The sequence below is a fragment of the Homo sapiens genome, chromosome 5 (assembly GCF_000001405.40).
Source record: "Homo sapiens chromosome 5, GRCh38.p14 Primary Assembly".
Taxonomy (NCBI): Eukaryota; Metazoa; Chordata; class Mammalia; order Primates; family Hominidae; genus Homo; species Homo sapiens.
This window is the reverse complement of record NC_000005.10, coordinates 79,764,889-79,786,502: the sequence shown is the minus strand read 5'-3', so window position 1 is coordinate 79,786,502 and position 21,614 is coordinate 79,764,889. Positions and strand designations below refer to the sequence as shown.

The following is a 21,614-nucleotide window of genomic DNA, read 5'->3' as shown; positions in this document are numbered from 1 at the left end:
ACAGCAAATGAGGCCACGATTGTTGGTACTTAGTTGGTGCTTAGGGATTTTATACCAGTAAATAACACGACTGATGTGACTATGATTGGAAGTCTACAGCCAATAATAAAATTTGAAAGACAATTAGAAATTTGACTCAAATGGTCTCATTTTGGGCCCTAAGTGTGGGATCCTCCCTACAAGTGCCATAGTGCAATGGAAAGAGATGGCTTTATGTGTGGAAGTCCCAGAGACGTGAGGGCAGTGAGCAGCGCAGCACCTAGAGCCTCTGAGCAGCAGCCATGAAGTCGATTGCTGGTGGATGATAAGCTCCAGTGGAGCTGAAACTTATCACAGAGCATTGTGCCCAGCAGGCTTCAGAGGCCTCTCAACCTGCTCATCTCACCCTTGGTAGCTCCACTGCTACAAAGCAGAGAGAAATGACTTAGAGGAGACTCACTGTCTCCTCAGAAGGCCTTGGGCTGCTCTGCGAATGAGAGATGGTCTCTTTCTCTGTTGTTTCAGAGGAAAATGAGTGGAAGCCCCCAGCAGCTGATGCTTGTGAGGACAGCCTCTCTAGCTTGGGCCCTTTTATTCTTGAGTTTTGGCAAGGAGCAACTGGAAAGTTTGCCATGACTAAGGTGCACAATGGGGTCAGAATCATTTTTGGTAGGAATTGAAAAGGATTTTTACGAAGTAAAAAATAATTGGGGTCATAATGGTTAAGGGGGATATTAAAAGCATTCCCATTAAGTCAGAGAGAAACATGAGGTTAAAAACACTGGGAGGGAGGAGGTAAAATTACTACCATTTGCAGATGATGGGACCATTTATCTAGAGAACCCAAGAAAATCAGTTGAAAAACTCTTACATAATAAGAGAATTCAGTAAGATGGCTAGATATAAAACTGATACAAGAAATCAAAAGCCTTTATATACAAATAACAACTAGATAGGAGATAAAATGAAAAATCTTATTTAGAATAGTGACAGACATAAAAATATATAAAGATATAAGATCTATATAAAGAACATTTTTTAAGATGCTACTGAGGGAAACAAAAAAAGACTTGAGTGAAGGGAAAGGCACATCAGTTCTTGGATAGGAAAATGCAACATCATAAAAATTTCAATTCTCCCTAAGTTAATCTATAAATTTAACATGATCTCTAAAAATAACAAATAGTCAGGAGCAGGCTGATGGAGGAGGCTACGCATCCTGATTCTAAAGATCATATCAAATACAAACTAGCAAATAGAAAAAAAAAGTCAGGAAGCGGCAACCTAATCTACCAGGAATTCTAAATTATAAAGCTACAATAATAAAACCAGTATGGTCCTGGGGCATAAATAGATGGATCAATAGACAGATTATAAAGGTCAGGAATAGACCCAAACATATAGTCTCTTGAGTGTATAATAATGGAAGTATTTCAGATCAGAAGGGAAAATGATGGGTTTTCCTGATGGGACAGCTAGATAGCCATACTAAAAAAAAAAAAAAAGTAGGATTTCCTACTTCACACAATCTACTGAGATAAATTCCAGATGATAAAATACCTAGTTTTTAAAAATGAAATTACTGGGAGCCAAGATGGCCGAATAGGAACAGCTCCGGTCTACAGCTCCCAGCGTGAGCGACGCAGAAGACGGGTGATTTCTGCATTTCCATCTGAGGTACCGGGTTCATCTCACTAGGGAGTGCCAGACAGTGGGCGCAGGCCAGTGTGTGCGCGCACCGTGAGCGAGCCGAAGCAGGGCGAGGCATTGCCTCACCTGGGAAGCGCAAGGGGTCAGGGAGTTCCCTTTCCGAGTCAAAGAAAGGGGTGACGGACGCACCTGGAAAATCGGGTCACTCCCACCCGAATATTGCGCTTTTCAGACCGGCTTAAGAAACGGCGCACCACGAGACTATATCCCACACCTGGCTCAGAGGGTCCTACGCCCACGGAATCTCGCTGATTGCTAGCACAGCAGTCTGAGATCAAACTGCAAGGCGGCAGCGAGGCTGGGGGAGGGGCTCCCGCCATTGCCCAGGCTTGCTTAGGTAAACAAAGCAGCCGGGAAGCTCGAACTGGGTGGAGCCCACCACAGCTCAAGGAGGCCTGCCTGCCTCTGTAGGCTCCACCTCTGGGGGCAGGGCACAGACAAACAAAAAGACAGCAGTAACCTCTGCAGACTTAAGTGTCCCTGTCTGACAGCTTTGAAGAGAGCAGTGGTTCTCCCAGCACGCAGCTGGAGATCTGAGAACGGGCAGACTGCCTCCTCAAGTGGGTCCCTGACCCCTGACCCCCGAGCAGCCTAACTGGGAGGCACCCCCCAGCAGGGGCACACTGACACCTCACACGGCAGGGTATTCCAACAGACCTGCAGCTGAGGGTCCTGTCTGTTAGAAGGAAAACTAACAACCAGAAAGGACATCTACACCGAAAACCCATCTGTACATCACCATCATCAAAGACCAAAAGTAGATAAAACCACAAAGATGGGGAAAAAACAGAACAGAAAAACTGGAAACTCTAAAATGCAGAGCGCCTCTCCTCCTCCAAAGGAACGCAGTTCCTCACCAGCAACGGAACAAAGCTGGATGGAGAATGATTTTGACGAGCTGAGAGAAGAAGGCTTCAGACGATCAAATTACTCTGAGCTACGGGAGGACATTCAAACCAAAGGCAAAGAAGTTGAAAACTTTGAAAAAAATTTAGAAGAATGTATAACTAGAATAACCAATACAGAGAAGTGCTTAAAGGAGCTGATGGAGCTGAAAACCAAGGCTCGAGAACTACGTGAAGAATGCAGAAGCCTCAGGAGCCGATGCGATCAACTGGAAGAAAGGGTATCAGCAATGGAAGATGAAATGAATGAAATGAAGCGAGAAGGGAAGTTTAGAGAAAAAAGAATAAAAAGAAATGAGCAAAGCCTCCAAGAAATATGGGACTATGTGAAAAGACCAAATCTACGTCTGATTGGTGTACCTGAAAGTGATGTGGAGAATGGAACCAAGTTGGAAAACACTCTGCAGGATATTATCCAGGAGAACTTCCCCAATCTAGCAAGGCAGGCCAACATTCAGATTCAGGAAATACAGAGAACGCCACAAAGATACTCCTCGAGAAGAGCAACTCCAAGACACATAATTGTCAGATTCACCAAAGTTGAAATGAAGGAAAAAATGTTAAGGGCAGCCAGAGAGAAAGGTCGGGTTACCCTCAAAGGAAAGCCCATCAGACTAACAGCGGATCTCTCGGCAGAAACCCTACAAGCCAGGAGAGAGTGGGGGCCAATATTCAACATTCTTAAAGAAAAGAATTTTCAACCCAGAATTTCATATCCAGCCAAACTAAGCTTCATAAGTGAAGGAGAAATAAAATACTTTATAGACAAGCAAATGCTGAGAGATTTTGTCATCACCAGGCCTGCCCTAAAAGAGCTCCTGAAGGAAGCGCTAAACATGGAAAGGAACAACCGGTACCAGCCGCTGCAAAATCATGCCAAAATGTAAAGACCATCGAGACTAGGAAGAAACTGCATCAACTAATGAGCAAAATCACCAGCTAACATCATAATGACAGGATCAAATTCACACATAACAATATTAACTTTAAATATAAATGGACTAAATTCTGCAATTAAAAGACACAGACTGGCAAGTTGGATAAAGAGTCAAGATCCATCAGTGTGCTGTATTCAGGAAACCCATCTCACGTGCAGAGACACACATAGGCTCAAAATAAAAGGATGGAGGAAGATCTACCAAGCCAATGGAAAACAAAAAAAGGCAGGGGTTGCAATCCTAGTCTCTGATAAAACAGACTTTAAACCAACAAAGATCAAAAGAGACAAAGAAGGCCATTACATAATGGTAAAGGGATCAATTCAACAAGAGGAGCTAACTATCCTAAATATTTATGCACCCAATACAGGAGCACCCAGATTCATAAAGCAAGTCCTGAGTGACCTACAAAGAGACTTAGACTCCCACACATTAATAATGGAAGACTTTAACACCCCACTGTCAACATTAGACAGATCAACGAGACAGAAAGTCAACAAGAATACCCAGGAATTGAACTCAGCTCTGCACCAAGCAGACCTAATAGACATCTACAGAACTCTCCACCCCAAATCAACAGAATATACATTTTTTTCAGCACCACACCACACCTATTCCAAAATTGACCACATAGTTGGAAGTAAAGCTCTCCTCAGCAAATGTAAAAGAACAGAAATTATAACAAACTATCTCTCAGACCACAGTGCAATCAAACTAGAACTCAGGATTAAGAATCTCACTCAAAGCCGCTCAACTACATGGAAACTGAACAACCTGCTCCTGAATGACTACTGGGTACATAACGAAATGAAGGCAGAAATAAAGATGTTCTTTGAAACCAACGAGAACAAAGACACCACATACCAGAATCTCTGGGACGCATTCAAAGCAGTGTGTAGAGGGAAATTTATAGCACTAAATGCCTACAAGAGAAAGCAGGAAAGATCCAAAATTGACACCCTAACATCACAATTAAAAGAACTAGAAAAGCAAGAGCAAACACATTCAAAAGCTAGCAGAAGGCAAGAAATAACTAAAATCAGAGCAGAACTGAAGGAAATAGAGACACAAAAAACCCTTCAAAAAATCAATGAATCCAGGAGCTGGTTTTTTGAAAGGATCAACAAAATTGATAGACCGCTAGCAAGACTAATAAAGAAAAAAAGAGAGAAGAATCAAATAGACACAATAAAAAATGATAAAGGGGATATCACCACCGATCCCACAGAAATACAAACTACCATCAGAGAATCCTACAAACACCTCTACGCAAATAAACTAGAAAATCTAGAAGAAATGGATACATTCCTGGACACATACACTCTCCCAAGACTAAACCAGGAAGAAGTTGAATCTCTGAATAGACCAATAACAGGCTCTGAAATTGTGGCAATAATCAATAGTTTACCAACCAAAAAGAGTCCAGGACCAGATGGATTCACAGCCGAATTCTACCAGAGGTACAAGGAGGAACTGGTACCATTCCTTCTGAAACTATTCCAATCAATAGAAAAAGAGGGAATCCTCCCTAACTCATTTTATGAGGCCAGCATCATTCTGATACCAAAGCCGGGCAGAGACACAACCAAAAAAGAGAATTTTAGACCAATATCCTTGATGAACATTGATGCAAAAATCCTCAATAAAATACTGGCAAACCGAATCCAGCAGCACATCAAAAAGCTTATCCACCATGATCAAGTGGGCTTCATCCCTGGGATGCAAGGCTGGTTCAATATACGCAAATCAATAAATGTAATCCAGCATATAAACAGAGCCAAAGACAAAAACCACATGATTATCTCAATAGATGCAGAAAAAGCCTTTGACAAAATTCAACAACCCTTCATGCTAAAAACTCTCAATAAATTAGGTATTGATGGGACGTATTTCAAAATAATAAGAGCTATCTATGACAAACCCACAGCCAATATCATACTGAATGGGCAAAAACTGCAAGCATTCCCTTTGAAAACTGGCACAAGACAGGGATGCCCTCTCTCACCACTCCTATTCAACATAGTGTTGGAAGTTCTGGCCAGGGCAATCAGGCAGGAGAAGGAAATAAAGGGTATTCAATTAGGAAAAGAGGAAGTCAAATTGTCCCTGTTTGCAGACGACATGATTGTTTATCTAGAAAACCCCATCGTCTCAGCCCAAAATCTCCTTAAGCTGATAAGCAACTTCAGCAAAGTCTCAGGATACAAAATCAATGTACAAAAATCACAAGCATTCTTATACACCAACAACAGACAAACAGAGAGCCAAATCATGAGTGAACTCCCATTCACAATTGCTTCAAAGAGAATAAAATACCTAGGAATCCAACTTACAAGGGATGTGAAGGACCTCTTCAAGGAGAACTACAAACCACTGCTCAAGGAAATAAAAGAGGACACAAACAAATGGAAGAACATTCCATGCTCATGGGTAGGAAGAATCAATATCGTGAAAATGGCCATACTGCCCAAGGTAATTTACAGATTCAATGCCATCCCCATCAAGCTACCAATGACTTTCTTCACAGAATTGGAAAAAACTACTTTAAAGTTCATATGGAACCAAAAAAGAGCCCGCATCGCCAAGTCAATCCTAAGCCAAAAGAACAAAGCTGGAGGCATCACACTACCTGACTTCAAACTATACTACAAGGCTACAGTAACCAAAACAGCATGGTACTGGTACCAAAACAGAGATATAGATCAATGGAACAGAACAGAGCCCTCAGAAATAATGCCGCATATCTACAACTATCTGATCTTTGACAAACCTGAGAAAAACAAGCAATGGGGAAAGGATTCCCTATTTAATAAATGGTGCTGGGAAAACTGGCTAGCCATATGTAGAAAGCTGAAACTGGATCCCTTCCTTACACCTTATACAAAAATCAATTCAAGATGGATTAAAGATTTAAACGTTAGACCTAAAACCATAAAAACCCTAGAAGAAAACCTAGGCATTACCATTGAGGACATAGGCGTGGGCAAGGACTTCATGTCCAAAACACCAAAAGCAATGGCAACAAAAGCCAAAATTGACAAATGGGATCTAATTAAACTAAAGAGCTTCTGCACAGCAAAAGAAACTACCATCAGAGTGAACAGGCAACCTACAACATGGGAGAAAATTTTCGCAACCTACTCATCTGACAAAGGGCTAATATCCAGAATCTACAATGAACTCAAACAAATTTACAAGAAAAAAACAAACAACCCCATCAAAAAGTGGGCGAAGGACATGAACAGACACTTCTCAAAAGAAGACATTTATGCAGCCAAAAAACACATGAAGAAATGCTCATCATCACTGGCCATCAGAGAAATGCAAATCAAAACCACTATGAGATATCATCTCACACCAGTTAGAATGGCAATCATTAAAAAGTCAGGAAACAACAGGTGCTGGAGAGGATGTGGAGAAATAGGAACACTTTTACACTGTTGGTGGGACTGTAAACTAGTTCAACCATTGTGGAAGTCAGTGTGGCGATTCCTCAGGGATCTAGAACTAGAAATACCATTTGACCCAGCCATCCCATTACTGGGTATATACCCAAATGACTATAAATCATGCTGCTATAAAGACACATGCACACGTATGTTTATTGCGGCACTATTCACAATAGCAAAGACTTGGAACCAACCCAAATGTCCAACAATGATAGACTGGATTAAGAAAATGTGGCACATATACACCATGGAATACTATGCAGCCATAAAAAATGATGAGTTCATGTCCTTTGTAGGGACATGGATGAAATTGGAAACCATCATTCTCAGTAAACTATCGCAAGAACAAAAAACCAAACACCGCATATTCTCACTCATAGGTGGGAATTGAACAATGAGATCACATGGACACAGGAAGGGGAATATCACACTCTGGGGACTGTGGTGGGGTCGGGGGAGGGGGGAGGGATAGCATTGGGAGATATACCTAATGCTAGATGACACGTTAGTGGGTGCAGCGCACCAGCATGGCACATGTATACATATGTAACTAACCTGCACAATGTGCACATGTACCCTAAAACTTAGAGTATAATAAAAAAAAAAAATTAAAAAAAAAAATAAAAATAAATAAAAATGAAATTACTGTATTGGCTACTACAAAAAAACATGAGTGAATAAACATACACACACACACACACACACACACAGAAAGAGAGAGGGGGGCAGGCGGCATGGGGGCATTTTAAAATATGCTACCCAAGTTAAAAGCTATTTTCAAAAGAGATTGATAAATCCAACTCAATTATTATAAAAAATATGCACGGTAAAAAATTTTTAAAGATTTGAAACTTATCTCTTAATAGGAAAGCTAACTTCCTTAAAAAAACAGAGCTTCTACAAATCAAAAAGAAAAAATACCACAATCCAAGAGAAAAAAAATTGCTAGGAAATGATCAGTTTATAGAAAAAGAAGTACTGTAGTGGCTCTGAACCATATGAAAAGATGTTCAACCTAATAAAAGAAATGCACAGTTAAACTAAAATAAGATTTCATTTTCTACAAATTGTCAAAAGATCAAAAGTTTTATCATCCAATGTTTAGGCAAGGGTATAAAGAACTAAGCACTCTTATACACTACTAGTCAGAGTCAAATAAACAACTACAACCTCTATAGAGACAGTTCAGTAATATCTATCAAAATTCACAATGTACACACTTTTTAACCAGTTATTCCACTTCTAATAATTTAATTTACAAATATATTTGCACATGTGTGAAATGATATATGCACAAGGTTTATTACTGCAGCATTGTTTGTGATGGCAAGAGAATAGAAACAACTTCAATGCCTCTCAATTGGTAAATAAGTTAAATTATATTCTTTTTTTTTTCTTTTTAGATGGAGTCTTACTCTGTCACCCAGGCTGGAGTCCAGTGGCATGACCTCAGCTCATTGCAACCTCTGCCCCACCCGGGTTCAAGCGATTCTCCTGCCTCAGCCTCCTGAGTAGCTGGGATTACAGGTAACTGCCACTGCACCTGTCTAATTTTTGTATTTTTAGTAGAGATGGGGTTTCACCATCTTGGCCATGCTGGTCTTGAACTCCTGACCTCGTGATCCACCTGCCTCGGCCTCCCAAAGTGCTGGAATTACAGGCGTGAGCCACTGTGCCCGGCCTAAATTATATTCTTAAAACAATAAAATAAAACTTAAAAAAAAATTTATTTTTATTATTTTTTTTAAGATGCAGTGTCACTCTTGTCTCCCGGGCTGGGGTGCAATGGCACAACCTTGGCTCACTGAAACCTCCGCCTCCTGAGTTCAAACAATTCTCCTGCCTCAGCCTCCCAAGTAGCTGGGATTACAGCTGCCTGCCACCACGCCCAGCTAATTTTTGTATTTTTTTAAGTAGAGATGAGGTTTCACCACGTTGGCCAGGCTGGTCTCAAACTCCTGATCTCAGGCAATCCACTCACCTCGGCCTCCCAAAGTGCTGGGGTTACAGACATGAGCCATCACACCTGGCCTAAAATTTTTTTTTTAATTGAAGTAGTTTCATATGTATTGATATGGGATGCTCACCAAGGAATATTTTTAAGCAAGGAAAGCAAAGTGGTGAAACATATATAGTATGCTACCATTTGTTAAAAAACTGTAGATGTTTGTATGTGCACAGACTATCTGGAAGGATCAATATGAATCAGGTAACAGTAATTGCTTCTGGGGAGGAGAATTGGGTAGGTAAAGGATAGGTAGAAAGGAGACTTAATTTCCACTGTATTCTCTTTTGTATCTTTTTAATTTGTACCATAAATACATATTCTCTATCCAAATTTAATTAAATATTTTACTTTTAAGAGCTATATTACCAGCTCAGAAGTTCAGGAGTTGGTTGAATGTGTTTGCACAATCTCAAAGGGGACATTAATTTGAACCCTGTAAAGTAGCTTCTCCAGGAATTTGATAATTCAGCAATTTGTATGGGATGGAAAAAAAGGAAAGGAGTATGTATGTGCTTAAGGTAACTTGAGGGGTTGGCAATTACAGGGTGTGGTTGTTCTCTGTACCACCATGTCCAACCCCTGGATCTAAGTATGCTTTCTCCCCAGGGGAGCGGGGCGGCCTGTGTACAAACAATATGGAGGAATCCAGTGCCGTGATTCCTAGGAGCAGCCTACAGTTAGTGTCGTCACTGCAGTGTACCACAGATGGCTAAATAGGTATTGTTTTTTAAAAAACACAGTTGGCTTTTACTGACATTCACATTGACAGCACCAACATTCAGGCAGTCAGTCGACACCACATAGTGTGAACTGTGAACAGAGTACATGGCTGGGCCCTGAAGGACCAGCTGGTAAGGCAGTGTTCCCCAAGCCTGCCTGGGCATATTAGATCTTCTGAATCGGAATCTTAAGAGGGGCCTTTGAATCTAGGTGTTTAGTAAGCATCCCGGTTGATTTTTATGATCATTTAGGTTGGGAAAAATAATCATAAGATAATGCGGGGTAAGAAGGGGTGGGAAGGAAAAAAAAACTACTTGAGAACATGAGCAACATTAAATATAAAAAACCAACTGAATAGCCATGGCTGTGTGAAGCTACTTATAAAATCTTAACTAACTGTCAATATGGAACTTTTTGTTTAAGGTGAAACACTTGGTTAAATCAGGATTGAGAAGATTTTCCTTCTTAAAAAGTTGGTAAATAAAAATTTTTGAACAGAACTATTTTTCTTTTGATAAATGATGATATTATGAGACTCGATGGTAAGCGTCTCACTCTTAGTTCATAATAGTGTGGAAAATAACATGGGGGCTGAATGGCCAGGCTGGTCTTGAACTCCTTGGCCTCAAGTGATTCTCCCACCTCAGACTCCCCAAGTGCTGAGATTACAGGTGTGAACTAACATCACTCTTAGTTCACAACACTGTAGAAAAGTAACATGGGGGCTGAATCCTGACAACCATGGGGCTTAGGCTTTCCTATAATTAAACATTCTTGCAAAATCAGCATAAGCCAAAGGTCCCAGCAGAAAGATTCTAGATTTTTGTTTTCTCTATAGTTACCCTCCAAAGGCTGAATGGTATCATTTATATTCCAGGCAGAGAATCCCAGGAGCTTAGTAACATTCATTCCTCTGGATTCTCTAGGCCCTCCTTTACCCCTCCACAGTCACACAGGCAAACAATTCCTTGAGATCCTCATAAAACTGCCTGCCCAGAATGGTGGCTTCACATTATGCTTTCAGATCCTGTTTAAAATAATGGTTATACAGAGAACGTTTTTGCAGCTTTTGTAAAACTGCTCTTAAAGGCAATCACTATTATCTTGTTCAATAGCCCTTATATAAAGATCTACATGAAAAATTCATCTTAGAGCTGAATGTCAAGAAATATAATTGTCTCTCTTAGTGAAATGTGCTTCCTTTTAAAAAAAGAGATGAGTTATGTAATCTCTTTTTTTCCTCTTGCTGTCTCCCCCTCTCTCCTGTTTTCTCTTTAGCTGCCAGTAAGTTCAGATTTAAATTTTGTGTTCCATTGAGGTTCAGTTCTTCATTTTCAGTCTCTTCAGTCCTGCATTATTTGGCTCTTGTTCTCACAGGATTGTTTTACTGGTTCTACTATGTCTGGGTCTTTCATTGTGGACAACCTGAATACTTTTGGAAATTGACAGGCCTAAGTTAGAAGTGAAGGAACTGATTGGGTTTCCATTGACTGAGGTTTTACTGTACAACTAGGAGGTGTTGTACGTGATCAAAGTCAAATAAGGTCATTTGGGAAGAAAGATTTCATTTAGGAATAGCCAAACGCGAAGACACTGGGGGATGCGATGGGGAATCATCTTCTCATAACTCCCTCTCCCAAAGGCTCCCTACAGAGGGATATGACAACTGGATCAGGAAAACAATTTCACATACAGATTGGTGACTAGCTTTTAATTACTCAATAAGAACTTTGGCCCAATCGTGTCAGTGACCCTCCTGTCACCCTGTGAAGAAGCAAGGAGCAGGAATGACTGCCTCCTTTAGCCACAGGGTGCAAGGAAGCTCCAATCTCTTGCTGTTGACCACTGGTCAGTCATCACCTATCCATCTGAAGGCTGAGGAAGAAAGATTTAAAGAAAAGAAAAATGCTGGGATTCCTCACTCTGCACTAAGTTCATTAGGAAACTTACCCTTATTTGTCCTTATTCTACAGACAGAGCAGTGGGTGTCCCCAGCTGAAAACACCCACCTATGACAGGCAATTCTGTTCCTGCTCCACCAGGTGGGGCCCCAAAAGCTGGAAGAAGGAGGAATATGAGCTCACAGGCCCAGCACCCTGAGCCCAACTCCCTGGAAATGCTTGCCCTGGAGGATGGCCCCGGGAGTGTCTCCCCAGCCCATAGCCTCAGCCAGAGCCAGGGAGCAGGAGACTCACTCCCAGCTACTTTCTGGCGTATTGACTCTCACAGATTTGTCATTCAATACACGGCTTCTCTCGCTGCAGCCCACACAGCTAATCCCTGTACTATATTTCTCTCAGTTTTCCCTCCTCCACCCACACTTCTTCTGACTTCTCTCCACACAGGAGAGACAGAACAGCTGAGGAAACAGCAGAACGGTGGAAAATTTTTGAAAGTGTTTTGAGCCCACCCAACCTGAGGAGAGCATTCAAAGAAAAACAGGAAGAAGGTGAGTAGGAGCTCCCTCAGCCCCCGCGCACAAGCCGGGGATTGTCACTCCCGCCTACCCCAAACCCAACAGGGGCCGACTGCTGGGACCGAGCCTCCTCGGTGCCCACACGCAAAAATATGCAAATGTTTTCTGTGAGGATTATGGAATGGAGGCAGTTGCTCAGCTATTTCAGACACTGCGTCATGTAACTTGGGGGCACAGTAGGCTCATTCCATTCAAACGCCCACCATAAAAGTTCAACTAGCACCTTTGGTCTTAAATTGGAATCGCCAGAGGCCATTATACCTGGGGAAGGACTGCAGGTCTGAAGATGGATGTGTTTCTATTCTGGCAAGCAAAATTAGATTCTCCAATCTAGAGGACAACCAATGCCCTCTCTCCATGTGTGCGTGTGATTTAATATTACTCATCTTTTTTTGCCTTTTTGTTTTTCATTTCCTTTCAACTTGTCTTCCTACACCATACCAGAGCTTTGAAGCCTGCTTGTTTTATCGGGGATTGGGGGTGGAAAAGAAATGTGAACTCATTTAGCTCTTGCTCCCTATCTTGTTTGCTGGAGATCCAGCCAGTTAGATGGCTTGAAGTGGGCAAGGACAAAAAGAGATTGGTTAATCCCCTTCATTCATTCATTCATTCATTCATTCACTCATTCGTGAAACAGACATTTATTGAGTATCTACACAGATAAGTTCCCCGTTCATACCCCATTTATGGTCCAGGCTCAGTTAAACTAAACCACAACAAATGGAAGTAATCTTTGATCCCCCTAATTTCCCTCAGGGACCTCTGGATCAATTTTTGGAGCTAGTTTAGTACTATAGAGTTTTTGCATGAAATCCAGAACCTATGTAAGGGTTATATAACCAATGGATAAATAAGCTTGTAAAGTCCTTCCCTATGAGTTACCCATGGGAAGGTTTCCAGTCCACAGATTAGACTAGTCCTATCTCCTGGTTAAATATCCAAGCACTACAATTAATTCATCCATTCTTCTTTACTTTGCTGGCACAATTTATTTTTTTCCTCATTTTAAATAAGAGATTATCCTCAAAGCTAGACTAACTTTTCTTACTAGTCAGTGTTATGTGTTTGATGCTAATTGATATTTACTCATTCCAGTAACACATATTTATTGAGTAGTTACAATATGCCAGGCACTGTCATAGGCACTGAGATGACAACTTCACACAATGATCCCTTCATGGAACCAACAAAGGAGTGAGATCAAACAAATCTTGGCTTGCTGTTCTTTCTCAGAGACCAAGTAACTTTATCCATTGCTGTGCAAAGAATCAAAGTGAAGAATGGGGTTCTAATATAATGGACAAAAAGGAGGAATTGTTTGTATTTATTGACTAGAGATGATCAAGTTTTGAGCTTCTTTATACATCAATTCTACTGTAAGACTTGTTCTCCACAACTGACATCTTAGAGATTGAACTACACAGATCGTAGTTAAATAGTTAATGTTTTACAGAATTTTGAAGCATCGGACCGTGTAAAGAATGTTTTAAAGTTGGTTGTGAAAACCAGATGGTCAAAAGAACCATAACACATGGCCACTCCCAAAGAGCAGAATTTTCCTTCCGTCTTGAACTCTTACATTAAAGAACCAAAGAGATAAAAATGAGTTTTGCAGTCCTGGGACTCTGCGATTAAAGATGAATTATTTCAGTCTGTTGATGCCAACCTAGGGAATAAGATATTGAGGCCTGTATTGATGGGGGATGGCTCTGATGCAGTGTGTCAGCAGTAGACTTAGCAAATGAACAGGATAGTAATTTGTGGCCAATAAATTTTTTCCTGCCTCAAAAAATTATCTATTGTCAGACTCAGCAGGGATCCAGAGGTTGGAGAGTCAAACCTGGGCTATGGACTGAACATATCGTTGCACCTCCTGGCACTGAGGGGCCTCTTAGTACCTAAATGGAAAGCAACTCCAGATCTAACCCAGCATTAAACTATCAACAGGGCTTCGCATGTGCAACTTCCCTTTATTTCTAAATTTGCTGGACTATAACCACTCAATAGCAAAGAACCCCTTGTATTGTTCTATTATAAATTTTTGCTTAGCCGGCCCCTAATATGCTTGCCTGCAACAAGAAAAATAAAAATGAATTGATTGGCAAGATCTCAAATAGAATAAGCTAATGACAAGCCTTATGTTTTAATAAGCTCGATGTTGGTCTTAATGAAATTGGTGGATGGTCTTTTTTTTTTCCTACAAATGGAACTGTCATTGGTTTCTCTGGCTTTCGCAAAGGATTTTCTGGAATGCATTGTTGTTATCAGAAAGAGTCTTTTCTTTTCTTTTTCCTTTTTTTTAGTTGCAAAGTCCCCAGGATAATCAGGGAAGGGAAAAATATTAACGAGAGGGGATTTGAATGGTAGTGCATTCTCTCTTCATATCTATGTTTCTCATGGGACAGAGAAAACTAAGGATGCATGGTACCACCCAGTCATCAGGTTATTGAGGGATGCCTCAGTCTATTCAGGGCTGCAGTCTTAAAACTAGTTGAAAGAAGAAGACAGGCCTGGGTTTGAATCCTGACTCCATACCCTCACTCCATCATTTCATACTTTGGCCAGATTATTTAACCTCTCTGAGTCTGATTTAGTGGAGATCACTAACTGCCTCATAGGATTGCTGAGAAGGTTCACTCAGAGTAGGCAAGTTCCTGGCCAGCTGAAGGCCCTCAATGGAACGCCATCCCCCCATCCCTTCTCCTTGTAGCCATATTTATGAGATGACATCACTGTTCCCTAGTGAGATGGCTACTAGGTCTCAGGGTTTCCAGATTTCTGCTGATTTAAGTATCCAACTGTGCTGATGTGATTTATGCAAATGCCAACTGGGGACGGATGCCATTAAGGGAATGAGTCATTTCAGAGACTTCATTAGCAGGCTGATCTTGCCTCTGAAAGAGCTGGGTTTTCCTTACAGATGGTAGAAAATGGTGGGAGAGATTACTCTGGGACTCTGGCACTTCTGATACAGGGTTCTTCTCATATAGCATCAATGAGTTTTCACAGTTAAGGTCCAGGACTCCCCTAAGTGACGTAAAGCAAGGGTTAACAACTTAGACTTTGAAATCTCACAAAATGAGGTTTAAATCCTGACTGCTAATACGAGCTGAGTAGCCTCTCAAAGTGTCTGTTTTATCTTAAGAGTTTTTGTGGGGATTAAATGAGGCAACATACCTAAAGTACTTGGGCTAGTGATTGGCACATAGTAAATGCTCAATAAAAGTCTGGTTTTTTTTTTTTTTTTTTCCTCTCTCCCTCTGTTTTGGCCAGAGTTCACCTCTAAGCTATTTGCTAATACTGAAGCCTGCCTTCCAGCAGCTGGCACATTAAAAGAGATGTTGTTTCTTGAACACTTATTATGTTTACGCTTCTGCTTAAATGCCTACATCCCACCAAAACGTCCCCCACCCGATATTAATTCATCCTTTGATCATTATTTTGTGAAGCCTGTCTTCAACTTGAAAGAAACTATCATCATTGTTCAGTCATATAAAATTTCACATCATAACTAAATAAATAGTTGTTGATCATGAAGATAAACAAGAGCTTAAATAACACACTTTATTTAAAGCTGTCTAGAGGTGGCTGGCAAGATGGCCGAATAGGAACAGCTCTGGTCTCCAGCTCCCAGCGAGATCAATGTAGAAGGTGGGTGATTTCTGCATTTCCAACTGAGGTACCCAGCTCATCTCAGTGGATGCAGCCCATGGAGGGTGAGCAGAAGCAGGGTGGGGCATCACCTCACCCGGGAAGCACAAGGGGTCGAGGAACTCCCTGCCTTAGCCAAGGGAAGCCATGAAGAACAGTGCATTCCAGCCCGGATACTACGCTTTTCCCATGGTCTTCACAACCTGTAGACCAGGAGATTCTCTCGGGTGCCTACACCACCAGGCCCTGGGTTTCAAGCACAAAACCGGGCAGCCATTTGGGCAGGCACTGAGCCAGCTGCTGGAGTTTTTTTTTCATAACCCAGTGGCTCCTGGAACACCAGCAAGACAGAACCATTCACTCCCCTGGAAAGGGGGCTGAAGCCAGGGAGCCAAGTGGTCTAGCTCAGTGGATCCCACCCCCAAGGAGCCCAGCAAGCTAAGATCCACTGGCTTGAAATTCTCGCTGGCAGCACAGCAGTCTGAAGTCAATCTGGAATGCTCGAGCTTGGTGGGGGGAGGGGCGTCCGCCATTACTGAGGCTTGAGTAGGCAGTTTTCCCCTCACGGTGTCAACAAAGCCTCCAGGAAGTTCAAACTGGGTGGAACCCACCGCAGCTCAGCAAAGCCACTCTAGCCCGACTGCCTCTCTAGATTCCTCCTCTCTTAGCAGGGCATCTCTGAAAGAAAGGTAGCAGCCCCAGTCAGGGGCTTATAGATAAAACTCCCATCTACCTGGAACAGAGCACTTGGGGGAAGGGGCAGTTGTGGACACAGCTTCAGCAGACTTAAACGTTCCAGCCTGCCAGCTCTGAAGAGAGCAGCAGATCTCCCAGCACAGCACTCAAGCTCTGCTAAGGGACAGACTGCCTTCTCAAGTGGGTCCCTGACCCCCATGCCTCCTGACTTGGGAGACACTTCCCAGCAGGGGTCTACAGACACCTCATACGAGAGAACTCCAGCTGGCATCTGGCGGGTGCCTCTATGGGATGAAGCTTCCGGAGGAAGGAACAGGCAGCAATCTTTGCTGTTCTGCAGCCTCTGCTTGTGATACCCAGGCAAACAGGGTCTGGAGTGGACCTCCAGCAAACTGCAGTAGACCTGCATCAGAGAGGCCTGACTGTTAGAAGGAAAACTAACAAATAGAAAAGTATAGCATCAACATCAACAAAAAGGACGTCCACACAGAAACCCCATCTGAAGGTCACCAACATCAAAGACGAAAGGTAGATAAATCCACGAATATGAGGGAAAAACCAGTGCAAAAAGGCTGAAAATTCCAAAAACCAGAACACCTCTTCTCCTTTAAAGGATCATAAGTCCTCACCAGCAAGGGAACAAAACTAGACAGAAAATGAGTTTGACTAACTGACAGAAGTCGGCTTCAGAAGGTGGGTTATAACAAACTCCTCCAAGCTAAAACAGCATGTTTTAACCCAATGCAAGGAAGCTAAGAACCTTGAAAAAAGGTTAGAGGAATTTCTAACTAGAATAACCAGTTTAGAGAAGAACATAAATGACCTAATGGACCTGAAAAACACAGCACGAGAACTTCTTGACGCCTACACAAGTATCAATAGCCAAATTAATCAAGCGGAAGAAAGGTTATCAGAGACTGAAGATCAACTTAATCAAATAAAGCATGAGGACAAGATTAGAGGGAAAAAAATGAAAAGGAACAAACAAAGCCTCCAAGAAATATGGGACTATGTGAAAAGGCCAAATCTACGTCTGATTGGTGTAGCTGAAAGTGACAGGGAGAATGGAGCCAAGTTAGAAAACACTCTTCAGTATATTATCCAGGAGAACTTCCCCAACCTAGCAAGACAGGCCAACACTCAAATTCAGGAAACACAGAGACCACCACAAAGATACTCCTTGAGAAAAGCAACCCCAAGACACATAATCATCTGATTCACCAAGGTTGAAATGAAGGAAACAATGTTAAGGACAGCCAGAGAGAAAGCTCGGGTTGCCCACAAAGGGAAGCCCATCAGACTAACAACGGATCTCTTTGCAGAAACCGTACAAGCCAGGAGAGAGTGGGGGCCAATATTCAACATTCTTAAAGAAAAGAATTTTCAGCCCAGAACTTAATATCCGGCCAAACTAAGCTTCATAAGCAAAGGAGAAATAAAATCTTTTCCAGAGAAGCAAATGCTGTTTGTCACCACCAGGCCTACCTTACAAGAGCTCCTGAAGGAAGCACTAAATATGGAAAGGAAAAACCAATACCACCCACAGCAAAAACATACCAAATTGTAAAGACCGTCGACACTGTGAAGAAACTACATCAACTAACAGGCAAAAGAACCAGCTAGCATCATAATGACAGAATCAAATTCACATAAAACAATATTAACCTTAAATGTAAACAGGCTAAATGCCCCAATTAAAAGACACAGACTGGCACATTGGATAAAGAGTCAAGACCCACTGGTGTGCTGTATTCAGGAGACCATCTCATGTGCAAAGACACATATAGGCTCAAAATAAAGGGATGGAGGAATACTTACCAAGCAAATGGAAAGAAAAAAAAAAGCAGGGGTTGCAATCCTAGTCTCTGATAAAACAGACTTTAAACCAACAAAGATCAAAAAAGACAAAGAAGGCCGTTACATAATGGCAAAGGGATCAACATAACAAGAAGAGCTAACTATCCTAAATATATATGCACCCAATACAGGAGCATCCAGATTCATAAAGCAAGTTCTTAGAGACCTACAAAGAGACTTAGACTCACACACAATAATAGTGGGAGACTTTAATACCCCACTGTCAGTATTAAACAGATCAATGAGACAGAAAATTAACATATTCAGGACTTGAACTCAGCTCTGGACCAAGCAGACCTAATAGACATCTACAGAACTCTCCACCCCAAATCAACAGAATATACATTCTTCTCAGCACCACATTGCACTTATTCTAAAATTGACCACATAATTGGAAGTAAAACACTCCTCAGCAAATATAAAAGAATGGAAATCATAACAAACAGTCTCTCAGACCACAGTGCATTCAAATTAGAACTCAGGATTAAGAAATTCACTCAAAACCACACAACTACATGGAAACTGAACAACCTGCTCCTGAATGACTACTGGGTAAATAATGAAATTAAGTCAGAAATAAATAACTTCTTTGAAACCAATGAGAACAAAGACACAACATAGCAGAATCTCTGGGACACAGCTAAAGCAGTGTTTAGAGGGAAATTTACAGCACTAAATGCCCACAAGAGAAAGTGGGAAAGATCTAAAATTGACACCCTAACATCACAATCAAAAGAACAAGAGAAGCAAGAGCAAACAAATTCAAAAGATAGTAGAAGACAAGAAATAACTAAGATCAGAGCAGAACTGAAGGAGATAGAGACATGAAAAAACCCTTCAAAAAATCAGTGAATCCAGGAACTGGTTTTTTGAAAAGATTAACAAAATAGACCACTAGCCAGACTAATAAAGAAGAATAGAGACAAGAATCAAATAGATGCAATAAAAAATGATAAAGGGGATATCACCACTGATCCCACAGAAATACAAACTACCATCAGAGAATACTATAAACATCTCTATGCAAATAAACTTGAAAATGTAGAAGAAATGGATAAATTCCTGGACACATACACCCTCCCAAGACTAAACCAGGAAGAAGTCGAATCCCTGAATAGACCAATAACAAGTTCTGAAATTGAGACAGTAATTAATATCCTACCAACCAAAAAAAGCCCAGGACCAGAAAGATTTGCAGCCGAATTCTACCAGAGGTACAAAGAGGAGCTGGTACCATTCCTTCTGAAACTATTCCAAACAACAGAAAAAGAAGGACTCCTCCCTAACTCATTTTATGAGGCTAGCATCATCCTGATACCAAAACTTGGCAAAGACACAACAAAAAAAGAAAATTTCAGGCCAATATCCTTGATGAACATCGATGTGAAAATCCTCAATAAAATACTGGTAAACCAAATCCAGCAGCACATCAAAAAGCTTATCCACCACAATCAAATCAGCTTGATCCCTGGGATGCAAGGCTGGTTCAACATATGCAAATCAATAAACATAATCCATCACATAAACAGAACCAATGACAATAACCACATGATTATCTCAATAGATGCAGAAAAGGCCTTCAATAAAATTCAACACCCCTTCATGCTAAAAACTCTCAATAAACTTGGTATTCATTGAATGTATCTCAAAATAATAAGAGCTATTTATGACAAACCCACAGCCAATATCGCACTGAATGAGCAAAAGCTGGAAGCGCCAGGCGCGGTGACTCACCCTTGTAATCCCAGCATTTGGGAGACCAAGGAGGTCGGAGCACAAGGTCAGGAAATTGAGACCATCCTGGCTAACATGGTGAAACCCCGTCTCTACTAAAAATACCCAAAAAAATTAGCGGGGCTTGGTGGCATGCGCCTGTAATCCCAGCTACTCGGGAGGCTGAGGCAGGAGAATCATTTGAACCTGGGAGGCAGAGGTTGCAGAGAGCCGAGATCACACCACTGCACTCCAGCTTGGTTGACAGAGGGACACCCCGTCTCAAAAATAAATAAATAAATAAAACAAACTGGAAACATTCCCTTTCAAAACCTGCACAAGACAAGGAGGCCCTCTCTCACCACTCCTATTCAACATAGTATTGGAAATTCTGGCCAGGGCAATCAGGCAAGAGAAAGAAAAAAAGGTATTCAAATAGGAAGAGAGGAAGTTAAATTGGCTGTGTTTGCAGATGACATGATTGTATATTTAGAAAACCCCATCATCTCAGCCTAAAATCTCCTTAAGCTGATAAGCAACTTCAGCAAATTCTCAGGATACAAAATCAATGTGCAAAAATCACAAGCATTCCTGTACAACCATAATAGACAAACACAGAGCCAAATCATGAGTGAATGCCCATTCCCAATTGCTACAAAGAGAATTAAATACCTAGGAATACAACTTACAAGGGATATGAAGGACCTCTTCAAGGAGAACTACAAACCACTGCTCAAAGAAATAAGAAAGAACACAAACAAATGGAAAAACATTCCATGCTCATGGATAGAAAGAACCAATATTGTGAAAATGGCCATACAGCCCAAAGGAATTTACAGATTCAATGCTATCCCCACCAAGCTACCACTGACTTTCTTCACAGAATTGGAAAAAACTACTTCAAATTTCATATGGAACCAAAAAAGAGCCTGCATAGCCAAGACAATCCTAAGCAAAAAGAACAAAGCTGGAGGCATCATGCTACCTGACTTCAAACTATACTACAAGGCTACAGTAACCAAAACAGCATGGTACTGGTACCAAAACAGATATATAGACCAATAAAACAGAACAGAGGCCTCAGAAATAATGCCACACATCTACAATCAGCTGAACTTTGACAAACCTGACAAGAACAAGCAACGGGGAAAGGATTCCCTATTGAATAAATGGTGTTGGAAAAACTGGCTAGCCATAAGCAGACAATTGAAACTGGACCCCTTCCTTATACCTTATACAAAAATTAACTCAAGATGGATTAAAGACTTAAACGTAAGACCTAAAACCATAAAAACGCTAGAAGAAAACCTAGGCAATACCATTCAGGACATAGGCATGGGCAAATACTTCATGACTAAAACACCAAAAGCAATGGCAACAAAAGCCAAAATCCACCAGTGGGATCTAATTAAACTAAAGAGCATCTGCACAGCAAAAGAAACTATCATCAGAGTGAACAGGCAACCTACAGAATGGGAGAAAATTTTTGCAATCTATCCATCTGACAAAGGG

General features: G+C 41.3%; 1 protein-coding gene across 1 annotated transcript in view, besides 2 other annotated features; it reads right to left on the bottom strand.

Annotated features, from left to right (window-relative positions):
- CMYA5 (cardiomyopathy associated 5) overlaps nt 1–21,614 on the bottom strand; it is a 110,387-nt gene that overhangs the window by 13,720 nt on the left and 75,053 nt on the right. The window lies entirely within an intron of this gene.
- Nucleotides 14,775–15,276: an enhancer, noted in NCBI's record as "OCT4 hESC enhancer chr5:79067050-79067551 (GRCh37/hg19 assembly coordinates)". NCBI's record gives its function as "activates a minimal SCP1, AML or CMV promoter by ChIP-STARR-seq in naive H9 embryonic stem cells {active_cell/tissue: H9 hESC(naive)}" and the evidence as "EXISTENCE:reporter gene assay evidence [ECO:0000049][PMID:30033119]".
- Nucleotides 15,721–16,461: an enhancer, noted in NCBI's record as "H3K27ac-H3K4me1 hESC enhancer chr5:79065865-79066605 (GRCh37/hg19 assembly coordinates)". NCBI's record gives its function as "activates a minimal SCP1, AML or CMV promoter by ChIP-STARR-seq in naive H9 embryonic stem cells {active_cell/tissue: H9 hESC(naive)}" and the evidence as "EXISTENCE:reporter gene assay evidence [ECO:0000049][PMID:30033119]".